We start from the raw sequence: 12,925 nt of genomic DNA, 5'->3' as shown, positions 1-12,925 counted from the left end.
TAAGCTTTACTTTCAAACGTTCAAATGGAATCTAAATATGATACTCACCATTTTACTTAGAATAATGCATGCTGTATACGAGTGTAACAAATGAACCTCACAATTGCAGTGCCTTAATACCAAAAAGTTTATTCCTAGTTCGTATCAAGCCGATTGGAAGACATTTGAGACACAACTTTTACTTTGTAGGTTTATCATTCCGAGGGCCCCAGAATCCGTTATTCAAACTAGCGGATAGGAGAAGAGAATGTTGAATCAAGCATAGTAGGTTTTTAATGGACCACCCACATTCCATTGGCTGCCACTCAATCACTTGTACATCAATCTGAAAGAAAGGTGGGAAAATGTAGCTTAGCTATGGGCCCAAGAGGAAAAGGAAATGAGCTTGATTAGCACTTAACAGACTCTACTGTAGTTTACCCTTCTGATAGCTGAATAGCCTTCTTCTTCCCTCACATAAAGTTTACTCATCCCCTTCCCAAAGTGGACAACCCAACTGTATTTATCTCAAATTCCAGGACTGCTGGTGGTGCATGTCCTTCTATGAGAATCTGGATTTAGATTCCTCTGGTCACTGCAACTACCCTCCCGCCACCCAGACACACACCTGATACAAACAGACACACATACAACATCGGAGATGCAAAATACAGTGGTACAGCAGGAGTAGGATAAATACAATAAGCTTACCTATTTTGAAAAAGGAATAGCAGAAAATACAGAACAGTTGCCGGTTCATAGCAGTAATGAAATCCTACAGGGTAAGAACTGGAAAAAGCCTCTGCTCTGGCAGGAGAAAATATTTCTTGAATCAATTTTAATTCTGATCATTGGAAAGAAGTCCATTGTTCTCTGTGGTCCCTGGCTCTACACCACCCTTTCTTGCAAGATTTATCTTTGTCCATTACTATCCATAGTCACATCTAATATGGGTGTTGTTACTCCATTTTTAAATGGCCTAAAGACTTAGGGTTTTAGCTCAATACATCCTCCACAGTATATAAAGTTGTATTTCAATTAAATTAGGTTCACTGAAAATTGACTAAAGGAAAAGCCAAGACTATTCTTGGGAAGGAATTGCCTATGGGGATTTATCTTCATTGAGTGAACTCATTTGCTTATCCAATGGGGCCATTAAAATTTCACATTCTTCTGAATCTACATCTGTTTTTCAGTCTCAGGACAGTAGATGAAGAGTGTGTAATTTAGGTTGTGCTGTCTATGAAATGATGGAACACTAAGGTAAGGTAAAAATACTTAGTTTTAGAAAATTGAACAAATTTTAAATGTAGAAAATAACTTTATGTTAATGTTACCAGATTTTATTTATATTTGTTTACTAGGATAAATATCAATATTCTAAAAGTCCTAAAACTTGTACGATTTTATCTTTTATCTTTGTCAGTCCGGTTTTCATTTAGAAGCCCAGCTATAAAACTTGGACTAGTCAGCCTTGACATGTGATATCTTTTCCTTTGTGCCTTTTTCCTTCCATAATATCTTTTTCTTTGTGCCTTATTTTTTAGGCCATAAAGGAAATGAGATTAAATTGAATCCTCCTCAAGTGGACTATTTGAAGAATAACCATTTTTCTTTTTAAAAAAACAACTTTATCGACTTAGGAAGAGTTTAAAGAATAGTTTTGAATTCCTGTTAATTTTCAATAGTTACTTAAAATGTTTTTGTCATTTTAAAATGATAATATATAATCATTTTTGAATGATATAAACCTACAGAAAGGAGATTATCTACATCTGAATTTGTAAGGTTTTTATGTTCATAATTTGAATATAAGCGTCTAATAAATTTCGGGAATTCTCATTTCATCAAACAAAATAGTAAAACTTTATGTAAAGATATTTTGCCTCAATTGCTTGTTGTTGCTCACTCTATACTGAACATGAACTTCATCTCCCAGTGCAATAATTGGTTCATAACTTTACAACATCATTTCCCGAAAGTACTTATTTTCCAACTGAAAATGTGTAAGGTTAAACTTTCTTCTCTGTTGTTGACGAAATAGTGAAAATACCCAATGTTGGCACTTCACTTTAGATTTCACAAACATTTTTATTAAACAGAGTAACAAACAATATGAATAACAGTTTCAAAGTAAGTTCTTTTTTAGATTTATCATCCAGATAATTCATATTTAACTGTAATTATTTTGTAAAACCATTCATTTTTCACAAATGCATTTTTATAGTTGCAAACAACCTCAGAAATCATTAAGTAACTTATCCGAAGTCAAGCATTCAGCCAGGTGTAGTGTTTCACGCCTGTAATCCCAGCATTTGGGGAGGCCGAGGCGGGTGGATCATTTGAGCCCAGGAGTTCAAGACCAGCCTGGGCAACATGGCAAAACCCCATCTCCACAAAAAAATACAAGAATTAGTTGGGCGTGTTGGTGGGTGCCTGTAGTCCCAGCTACTCAGGAGGCTGAGGTGGGAGCATTCTTTGATTCCAGGGAGGTTGAGGCCACAGTGAGTCATGATCTTGCCACTGCACTCCAGCCTAGGCACCAAAGTGAAATCCTGTCTCAAACAAAGAAAGAAATAAACAAAATCCCCCAAAACTGAAGTCTAGCATTCATGAAAAGAAGGCCAACCCACAAAAGGAAAATGAGCACCCCCCCAAAAAATATGGAGAATTCAAGAAAAGGAACTATTAATGGATCTTATATATAAGATGCTTGGCTTTATCATAATAAAAGAAATAAAAATTTAAATTATAACACAATGCCACTTTCACTAACATATTGGCAAAGATCAAAGCATTTGATGACACATATGAATTGATAAGGCTATAGAAAAGCAAGTACTCATAAATAACTGTGGGAGAGTGAACTGGTACAACTTCTCAAGAGGGCAATTTTGCAGTATCAATAAAAATTACTCTTGAATGTATACATTGGTCAAAACTTATACACACTAAAAAGAGTAAAATTTATGTAAATCATATCTTAATTTTTTAAAATGAGAAAAGTTAGTATTAGTCTTCTCAAAATAAACTTTATGTTACCTTTAGAGAGAATGAGGTTGATCTATAGTTACTGGTGTGCAATAAACTCTAAGATATATTAAGTGAAAACAATAAAATCAACTATTTGAACCCAAGTTTCTTTATTCTCTTTTCATGTTACTGTGCTTCCTTTAATTTAATAGATGACTTTTTAATTCTGACAGCATTTAGATTTCTGAAAATCTTTGCTAATGTCTTATTTTTAAAAATTCATTGTAAAGTAACTTGCTTTAAATAGAAAAATGAAAGATTCTTTACTTTTAAAATATCAGCTAATTATATATCCTTCTCTTCATCTTGGCATTGTTTTGGTCTTTTTCACACATTTGTATCTTATATATACTTCTTATGTTCCAATATTGTATGCCTACATGTAATTTTAATGGCTTTTAGACATTCTACTATGTTACTATAACTTACCCATTTCCAACTTACTGGATATTTGGTTGTCTCCTATTTCTAGGAACATTTCCGGATTTTTTTTTTGGTATATACTTCTATATGTGGTACTTGCTCAAAAGAAAATCATTTTTATGTTTCCTGCTGTATTTAAGTAGATTGTTTTTAAAAAAAACCTTTTGCCAATTACACATAACCATCAGCAAATGCATAATTATATCTGCTAATAATGACTTTTATATACTTAAGATTTTGTAGAATATAAGAAAGTGTTGCTAAGATACTTGAAATGTTTTTGTTATTTTGAAATTACTGTATACTTATAAAAATCCATTTTAAATTTTGGAACAAAAGTTAATTAACTTTTTAAAATTTATTTAACAACATTTCATAAAGTCAGGTATTTTCAGATTACAGGTATTATATGTTATTTTATTTGTTGTATTTAGAAACAAACAACATTAAATAGAAACCAAATTGTTATTTCAGCAAATCCTATCCCAATCAACAAAGGATTGTTTAAAAGAGATGGCATAGGCCATAACCAAATCTTATTTATTTTTCATAGATGAAGGACATTTTAGGATAAAAAAACTATAATTTCATTATCTCCTTATTTATTTGAGCATATTTCATTACTGTATAGATCACACATTCTCTAAAATGTAAAACTGGTTCCTTATTGCTTCTTATAATGTTACCCATCCATCTTTAGTATTTTCATAGATGATGTTCACTTCAGGTAAGCAACAAAATATAAATTAATTTTAGTAGTCACATGAAAGAAAAAATAGTTTTGAAAAAATAGAAAATACCTGGTAAACATACTGTAATATCTTTGGAATTACAGTGATCATATTGGACCTTCAGTCTGAAAATTCGTCATATAGAGTATACATTTTATTAGTAATGCAATGCCAAAAAAGTTTTAATTTTTGTGTGTGTTAGAAGGATTTCATAGTGTTGCAGAAATGGGGAGTAGTGCATCTTGTAAACATTCTCTTCTTTATTCTTACTAATAGAACTCTAGGTAATATATTAGCTTAAAAAAACTGTATTTCCCAGCCCCTTTGCATATGAGAATGGCTAGTGTTCGAAAGGACCTCTGAGAAAGCTATTATTGTCCTTCCCTCTAGTTATGGTTAGAGTTCTGGCAGCCATCTGGGACTGCAATGGACGGGTCAAGAAAATTTCAGCTCCCTAATGTCTGATCCAAATTGAGATAGATTTTTTAGCTTAAAAAAAAGTTTATCTGTTTATAACTAAAATAATTTTTACATTAAGAAGTTCTTTTAAATAATGGCTTGACACTAACAGACTACATTTTTTTAGCTGATGTCCTCTAAGCCTTAAATATGTGCCAGGCTAACTCTGAGTTTGGCACTGTAAAACTTCTGTCTGAACAATTATTCATTTGATTAATGCAATAACTTTCAATTATAGCTGCACAATAAAATCAGATATGAGAATTTGGGTTTACTAAGTCTAGGTTAATGGTGTTAGCTTGTATCAGATTTGCCCAATTAAAACATAAATTTTTGTTTTGTTTTGTTTTTTATTTTTATTTTGAGACAGAGTCTCACTCTGTCACCCAGGCGGGAGTGCAGTGGTGTGATCTCAGCTCCCTGCAACTTCCGCCTCCCGGGTTCAAGCAATTCTTGTGCCTCAGCCTTCTGAGTAGCTGGAATTACAGGAGTGCACCACCATGCCTGGCCAATTTTTGTATTTTTAGTAGAGATGGGGTTTCACCATGTTGGCCAGGCTGGTCTCGAACTCCTGACCTCAAGTGATCTGCCTGCCTTGGCCTCCCAAAGTGCTGGGATTATAGGGATGAGCTACTGCGCCTGGCCCATGAATTTGGTACACACATACTTGTTAAAACAGATTGTTGAATCCTTCTTCCCGAAATGAGAGATCCAGTAGATCAGAGTTGGTGTGTTCTTTTAAGGTGATGCCGATGCTGCTGGTCCAGAGATCATACTTTTGAGAACCTTTCAGCATCACCTAGGCACCTATGTATTAAAATATTTTAAAATGATTTTGATGGTTTAGGGACAGTATTAGAAACTTTTATTGAGAATGAGTAAGATTAAATCTGTTTCCTCTCATTCCCTTTGATCTATTAGCTCGAGTTTCCAGAGTAAAAGTGAGGGATTTGTGCATCTTCTTTCCTCTTTGGATGTTGGAAATCCTTTTCTCAGGGATGGAATTGCTTTCCTTTTGGTATCTTAGGGCAAGTGGGATTGACTAGCCTCAAGCAGAATTTCAAAATAAACATAGAGTCATTTTTCCCTTTGATTTCTCTTGCTGCATGCTTCCTCCTCCTCTTAACAACTACTCTTCTCTAATCCTATGTACTTATTATTCTCTTTTTTCTCCTAACCTCTACAACTGTGGCCTTCTCAAGCTTGCACCCCCTGTAAATAGGTCTCTTCTATTCTGCCACTGTCAACTGCAACATTTATTTCCTGAGTTGTAATTTTTGTTAGATGCTAGTAATCTGAGGACATTTCTCCCAGTGGCTTATTAAAAAGTACAAAAGAGCTGTTAATCTCTCTAATCAGTGGCTTTCACTGGGTGTGGGGATGGTGTTTCTTGGGAAGAGGGTCTTCGTGCTTTGCTAAGAAGAGGGTTGTTTAATAATCTGGATTCTTCTATACTTTTAAACGGCCCGTTTACATTCTTATCCTTTCTTTAGATGATGACCCCATAAATATTCTTCTGATTCCAGCCCAATCTTTGTAACCCATCAACTCTTTTAGCAGACTTAACCCTTAAATGGTCTTTTGTTTACCTGTAGTTGGGTTGTGGGTACCATTGCTCCTCAAGTCTACAGCCCAGAGTGAAGCAGAAATTGTTATTCTGTACCTGCAATGGATCTAGACTCATTATTGGTAAAACCTACCTACCAAGGGAGTGTGCTCCAAAAGAGTTGGGGTAGGGTTATAGGAGCCAGGTTGTCTTCTCCATATATCACCCTACCAGACTTTGGTCACATAATTAAGTCTTTGTAGTTTATTTCTTATGGATATGGTCTTTTCAAGGCTGAAAAATTATTCACTACATCGCAATTTATAAACTGCTGTTTAGTGCATGGATAGAAAAACAGGCAAGAGCAAACTGATCTTTCAAATTAATAAATGCTTTTGCGTGATCAAATCCAAAGGCCTCTCTATAATTCTCAGTTTTTTCAACCTTTAGGTAGCATTTTACACTCCTGATCATGCCTTAATCTTGACTATCTGCTGTCTTTTCCATTCTATGACACAGTGCCACAGAGAATAGGATATTATTGGCTTGCTTTTCCAGTTTTTTTGAAAACTCTTTTAAATGGCTATTCTTCCTTCACTTTCCCCTAATTTTCATTTTCCCTTTATTTTCACATTTCGCAAGTCTCTTCCTTCATCTTTCTTCTCAGCAGACTCAAACAATCTCTCCTTTATTAATCTTATTAATGTTAATGGCAGGCATCCTATCTTCTTCCATTACTGGTGGGAACTGGGAGAAGAAACTCTTGGGACATGGCTAAACATTTGGGCTATAAAATAAGGATAACAGATGCTAATTGGAATGGTATAAGCATTTTAAATTTTAATTTTTAATTTTAAGACTAATAATTCTCCTTTAAAAAATTAAAATATAAAAGATAAAAGTCTCCATGGGCCATTATCTCCATTCTTTGTTCCCATCTCCCTCCCCTAAAGTAACCATTGCTAGTAATACAGAGCAACTTTACTTATATATTTGAATATAAATGTTATAATAGTAAGCATACCATTCTGGAATTTGTGCTTTTTATTTGTCAAAATGTTTGGATATTTTTCTGTGTTAGAATATAAAGTTCTTCCTCAGGCAATAGCATTTAAATAGTAGTAATTTTTGTGGCAAAGTATATAAATGAAATCCTGCCTAGGATACCTGGTGGAACTTGAACTTTAATGAGGATCTTTGTGCAGTTTGTCAGAGTGATTCCAAAATTGAAATCATGCTGATGGTGGTAGAAGTAGTTCCTTGGCTTTCTGATCTTTAAACATATTGAGCATTTTTGTTTTTTTTTTTTTTGGATTTTGGGGTGGCTGACTTCAACTGGGCTATATATAAATGGTTCCAGCACAACCACGTATGAATTGATGATGGTAGTGAGTATCCAACTTTCAGTCTTGAACACCTAAGGATAATAGTCGAGTAATTGAATTAAAAAGTTTTTATATGGTATCTTACCTTGTTCCTTGGTCATTGGATTTCTTCAATTATAGATTTTATTGATAAGGAATGCTCATTTACAAGTTCAACTATCATAACAGTGACTTGGATGTCTTTTCTTTAAAATCTAAGATGATAAATTAGCAATAAACGTGCTGGAAATCTTTAAGTCTAGTTACCTAATTATGGGGATTCCGAATCAAGGAGCCAACTGCTTTTGGCAAGTGGTCACACTGTCCAGTGTATCAATAGTAAAGGTGAATGTGATGTAAGGTCACAGCCAAAAGACTGTGTTCCAGGAAGTGACTCCTCACCAGACACCAAATCTTGTCCTTGCGTCTTGATTTTGGACTTCTCAGCCTCCATAACTAAGAAATAATTAATTTCTGCGGATTACCTATCCAGTTTATGGTATTCTGCTATAACAACCCAAATTAAGATATTTAGTAAATAATTTATTAGCACCTACGATGCAGCAGGAAATATGCTAAATGATTAGGGAGAGCAATAATTTTCAGAAGATTAAAAAAGCTTTCCAAAAAGACATAGCACTTGAGAAGAACTTTAAAGAAAGGGTAGAAGTTCCATGGGGGAAAGTGTGGTGGTGGGGAAGTTTAACATACTGGATACAATAAAGATCTTAATTCACAGATAAATTATAAAGTGCTTGAAGTAAGGGACTATATGTTCTCTTAATCTTTGTGTTGATCCCACTTTTGCACAGCCTCTACTTTATTCTTATAGGAAAACATGTAGCATGGCCGTCCTTAATTACCGAGTTGCAAAATAAAGCAGGTGTTATGTCCTGCCCCTGCAGAGATCCTCAAACCTTAGCATGCATCAGAATCACCTGGAGAGCTTGTTAAAACGCAGACTGCTGAGCCCTATTGCCAGTGTTTGGGATTCCCGAGGTTTGAAATAGGGGCCTGTAGGGAATGAGAAACATCTTTCTTTCCTGTTGCTAGATTCCTGTTTGAGTCCCTTATAAGAAAAGACAGATTAATAAGAGAAAAGCGTGCAAATTTATTTAAGTTTTATGTGGCATGGGAGCCTTCAGAGATGAAGCCCAAAGAAACAGGAAAACCTGTGCATTTTTAGAAGGAACAGTGGACAGTTGTGGGGAAGTACGGTTGGACAAAGCATGGTCTAATGGTAATAAACTGGGGTAAGTTGTCAAAGGTCTTTTTGTTCAGATTCTTTTCTATGTCTCCGTTTCTTTAGAGATAAGGATATTTCTTTCCTGTGGGTATAGGAAGAGCACCTCTGGATTGAGGATCCAATGACCCGCCTCAGGGAAGAAGGATGGGAGAAGGTCAGAGAGTGATCTTAGGTTTTGTTGTTTTCTCAAATGTCAAGGGGCCATATTTTGGGGTAGCATATCCTGAACCCCATCAGCGGTGAAAACTTGTATTTCTACATAGTTCCCAGGTGATGCTGTTGCTAGGTTCTAGGATCACGTTTTGAGAACCACTGCTTTAATGTAATTTATATCTAACCACTGCTCCAGCATTCTTTTCTGTAAGCATCCAGAATGCTGTGACAAATTCTTGTCAAACTTTAAGAATCTTCAGGATGTCAAATTCTGTCTTGAGGTCAATAAAGATGGGTAGGGGACGAAATAATCTTTGCTCAACCTTTGGCACATTACAATGATGTTTTTCAAATAGTAGGGCTCAAACGTGATGCATTGGAAAATTGGAAAATTGGAAAATCAAATAATCATATGGTAAATATTTTAGTAGGTTTCTTATTTAATCAACTCTTAATAAGATGGGATGGATAACATTCCTGAGTTAGAAAAACATATTGCAAGCGCTGTCAGAGGAAAATTAAGTTCAAGTCCATCAGCAATCTTTACTCATGTTTTGCTTTATATATTTGTGAGTGCCGTACACAGAACTGAGTCCAGTGTTGACTTGAGTCTAATCAATACACATATACGTATACATGTGTGTGCCTCAAATATATCTGATTGAACTTAGTAAGCCACAGAACTGTAATATATATGATATAATCAATGTGTTATACATTATATTACAATAATTATACACAAAATAATACATTATTCTGTATGTTAAGGGAGAGAGGACAACAGCAAAGAAGACAGAGTGCTACAACGTCCAGGCTGTAAAAGTCATTTTATTCTGGAGGAAATGCAACACCAAAGTTGTAACAGTCTTTCAATAAAGTAAAACAGAATCATCGAAAGGGCTCCTGGGACAATTGAGGCTAGAATGATCTTGGTCAGTCAGTCCTGTGGACTTGAGGGCAATCTTCCCTCCCACTACCGGTTGGGGAGCCCTGATGTCGCCTCCCGCAGAGCGCCACTTGGCCTGGCCTGCGCTTCACCTTCATTTCCGCCCGCGGAATCCTCCAGGATCTTCCCGCCAAGGCTGGGGTTTCCGCTCCGCGGCGTCCGAGCGCCAGCGGACTGCGCATGTGCAGGACCCAGCAGGTCTAGAGCTTTTCTGTGTTTCTCCGGACTTCGAGCCATGGCGGTGACGGAAGCGAGCCTGTTGCGCCAGTGCCCCCTGCTTCTGCCCCAGAACCGGTCGAAAACCGTGTATGAGGGATTCATCTCGGCTCAGGTACCCGCCCAGTGGTTGCTTTCTAGCTAAGAGAGCCTCTTGCAGCGTAGCTGCGCGGAGAAGTCTGTGACGGGCTAGGAGGTTAGGGGCCCAGACTTGTGGGGATTGAGAGGGGCGGCGCGTAACGGCTCTTGGGAGACTAAAGGTTTGAGAAGCGCCGCTGTCGCCGCCACCCCGGTGGTCGCCGCGCTGGATGGGGAGCGAGGAGGCGCGCGGCGTGGAGCGGGGCTGGGGCCACGCCTCCTCTCTCCCTAGCCCTTCCCCGAGTTTGGCTTCCTTCTTCGTTCAGTGTCCCGCAATTGACTGTTTTTTAATTTTTTTTTTGTAAATTTTGCCTTAACTCGATTTTAACACCCTCCACCTCCACGGATGTTGATGAGTTCACTCGGGAATCTGGGCTAATTATTTTCGTGTTTCCTGTAGAAAGAACATTTGGGAAGAAAACCTTATTTTGGCCCTTTGCCAAGTCGTATGTACCTGTACACCCACAGTTACAATATCTTCTAGGAGAAGCATGACAGCAATGGAATTAATTAACTTTGCTGATTCCAGTGGCCTCTCATATGGAGTTTATTACACATACTAACACATGTGTAGGGTTTTGAAGTTTACAAAGCGCTTTCCAGGTAAATAGTTCACTTAATCCTCAGCCCTTTGAGGCAGAAATTTTTAAAAGAATCATCATTCCCATTTTCTAGTTGAAGAAATCAAGGTATGGGAAACCGGAGACGTTATTTGCTGATGATCACATCAGAATCCCTTAAACGCAGGCTGTGTGATTTCAGTCCTGGATTTTTTTCTCTTTACATTGCACCAGGATACCTTAGGTTAGGAGTGTAGACTTTTCCTTTCTGACCATTACACTCAACCTTGTGCCCACTTCCCCACCATCACGCATAGTCTTTGAGTATATGTGGAATTACCATATGACCATCACAGAAAGTAGAGGTTAAAAATTCATTATTCCATATGGAAAAAAGTTAATCCACCTTTCCCTCTCCAATTAGAAGTATTCTTCTTGAATTACCTAGCTGAAAATATGATTCTCTTGTAGACAACATTTAGAAAAGTTGAAAAATTTTAAGTTACTTTTTTTTTTTTTTTTTTACAGGAAGCATGTTATACCTAATTTTAGGCAAAATACTGTTATGTATGTCTATATCTGCTAAGGCCTTTTAGGAAACAAGTACACCCATTAGAATTGAGATTAGATGAAAGTTTCTTTTATGACCATTGCTATAGCTAGAATTCCAATTTGTACCTGCCTTAGCAGTTTATTTAAATCTTAAACATTTTACGTGTCTAAAAATATTTTGTATATATTTTAAATTTACAGAAAAGTAGCAAGGATATACAGTACAAGTAATTCCAGTATACCCTTTACCTAGATTCACCAGTTTACATTTTCTCCATTTTACTGATCATTGTTAAGTATATGTATGTGGGTGGGTGTGTATACACATTATTTTCCTGAACCATTTGAGGTCAAATCAGGCGTAGTTCCCCTTTATCCCTAAATACTTGAGCATACATTTCATAAGAACGAGGACACACTCATACATAACCACAGTACAGTGATTAAAATCAGGATATTTAATGATATACTATTATCTAAGATAGAGTCCATATTTCAAATTTTGTTTATGATACAGTTGTATGTTTTATACCCCCATCCCCTACCATCTGTTGTTAAGATCCCACATTACATTTAGTTGTCATGTCTAACCTGGAACAATTCTCAGTCTGTTTGTGTTTTTTATAAGCTAGACATTTTTAAAGAGTACAGATTGGCTGTTAGGTAGAATGTATCTCAATTTGGGTTTGGATGATATTTCCTCACTATTAAATTCAGCTAATGCATTTTTGGCAGGGATACTACAGAAAGATTGTTTTGTCCTTCTCAAGGCTTGTGAGGTTACCTGGTTGGTTCCATTATTAATGATGTTAACTTTGATCACCTGGTTAAGGTATCATCTGTCAGAGTCTCCTTTTGTAATTAATAAGTACTTTTGGGGAGGTACTCTGAGGCATCAAACTTTCACACACATTCTCTGGTTTTAGCGTCCATTGACTTTTGCTTGAGTCGACTATTACTATCACGGTTGCCAAATGATGATTTTCTAACTCTTGTCATTTCTATATTTATGAAGTGGCAATTCATTATAAGGAGTAGCATTGCCTGCTTTCTCATTTATTTAATTATATTAGAATGGATGCATGGACTTTTAAAAAAATTACTTGATTATAATCATTATTTATTTTGATCCTCGAATTGTCCCAGATTTGGCCAGTGAGCAGGTTTTATGTATGTAAGTTTTTAAGGCTTTGCATTTCCTCTCATCAGTGTTTTAAAAGTATCCTATAGATGCTGACATGTAGCCTTATAACCACCATTTTTAGAAGCTATATGATGTCAATTTACTATGCACCTTAATAGGTTGTAAAAATTTTCTCGTGGAAGGTCCTTTTTGGTTTTTAATTTTGTTGCTGATTTCTAATTTTTCTTGTATTGTAATTAGACAGTATTGTTTATAAAAAAGTCTCCATGGAACTTACTGGTACTTTTTCCTGTGACCTAATATGTAATCAGTTTTAGGTGTTGTCTCTATTATCAGATTTTCTCTTTCCTTTTGAGTGAGCTTTGGTAGTTTGTGTCTTTCAAGGAATTTGTTAGTTTCATCTAGGTTTCTGATTTTATTGGCTTAAAGTTATTT

The 12,925-nt window shown here is 36.1% G+C and overlaps 1 protein-coding gene across 19 annotated transcripts in view, besides 2 other annotated features; it reads left to right on the top strand.

Annotated features, from left to right (window-relative positions):
• Positions 9,757-9,916: an enhancer, noted in NCBI's record as "active region_15794". NCBI's record gives its function as "activates an Ori minimal core promoter by ATAC-STARR-seq in GM12878 lymphoblastoid cells {active_cell/tissue: GM12878}" and the evidence as "EXISTENCE:reporter gene assay evidence [ECO:0000049][PMID:35858748]".
• FANCL (FA complementation group L) overlaps positions 10,049-12,925 on the top strand; it is an 82,138-nt gene continuing 79,261 nt past the window's right edge. For 10 of the 19 annotated variants that reach the window (NR_156742.2, NR_164659.2, NM_001438892.1 and 7 more), the window contains exon 1: positions 10,104-10,211. Coding sequence is in view for 16 of the 19 variants with exons in the window: in NM_001438892.1 (NP_001425821.1) it covers positions 10,116-10,211 (96 nt within the window). In the remaining 3 variants the exon portion in view is untranslated. Of the gene's footprint in view, positions 10,212-12,925 lie in introns of all 19 variants that reach the window. The other 9 variants (XR_007077528.1, XM_047444856.1, XM_047444853.1 and 6 more) reach the window with 1 other exon arrangement.
• Positions 10,457-10,506: a silencer, noted in NCBI's record as "silent region_11507". NCBI's record gives its function as "represses an Ori minimal core promoter by ATAC-STARR-seq in GM12878 lymphoblastoid cells {active_cell/tissue: GM12878}" and the evidence as "EXISTENCE:reporter gene assay evidence [ECO:0000049][PMID:35858748]".

The sequence above is a fragment of the Homo sapiens genome, chromosome 2 (genome assembly GCF_000001405.40).
Source record: "Homo sapiens chromosome 2, GRCh38.p14 Primary Assembly".
Classification (NCBI taxonomy): domain Eukaryota; kingdom Metazoa; phylum Chordata; class Mammalia; order Primates; family Hominidae; genus Homo; species Homo sapiens.
This window is presented reverse-complemented; position numbering and strand designations above follow the sequence as displayed.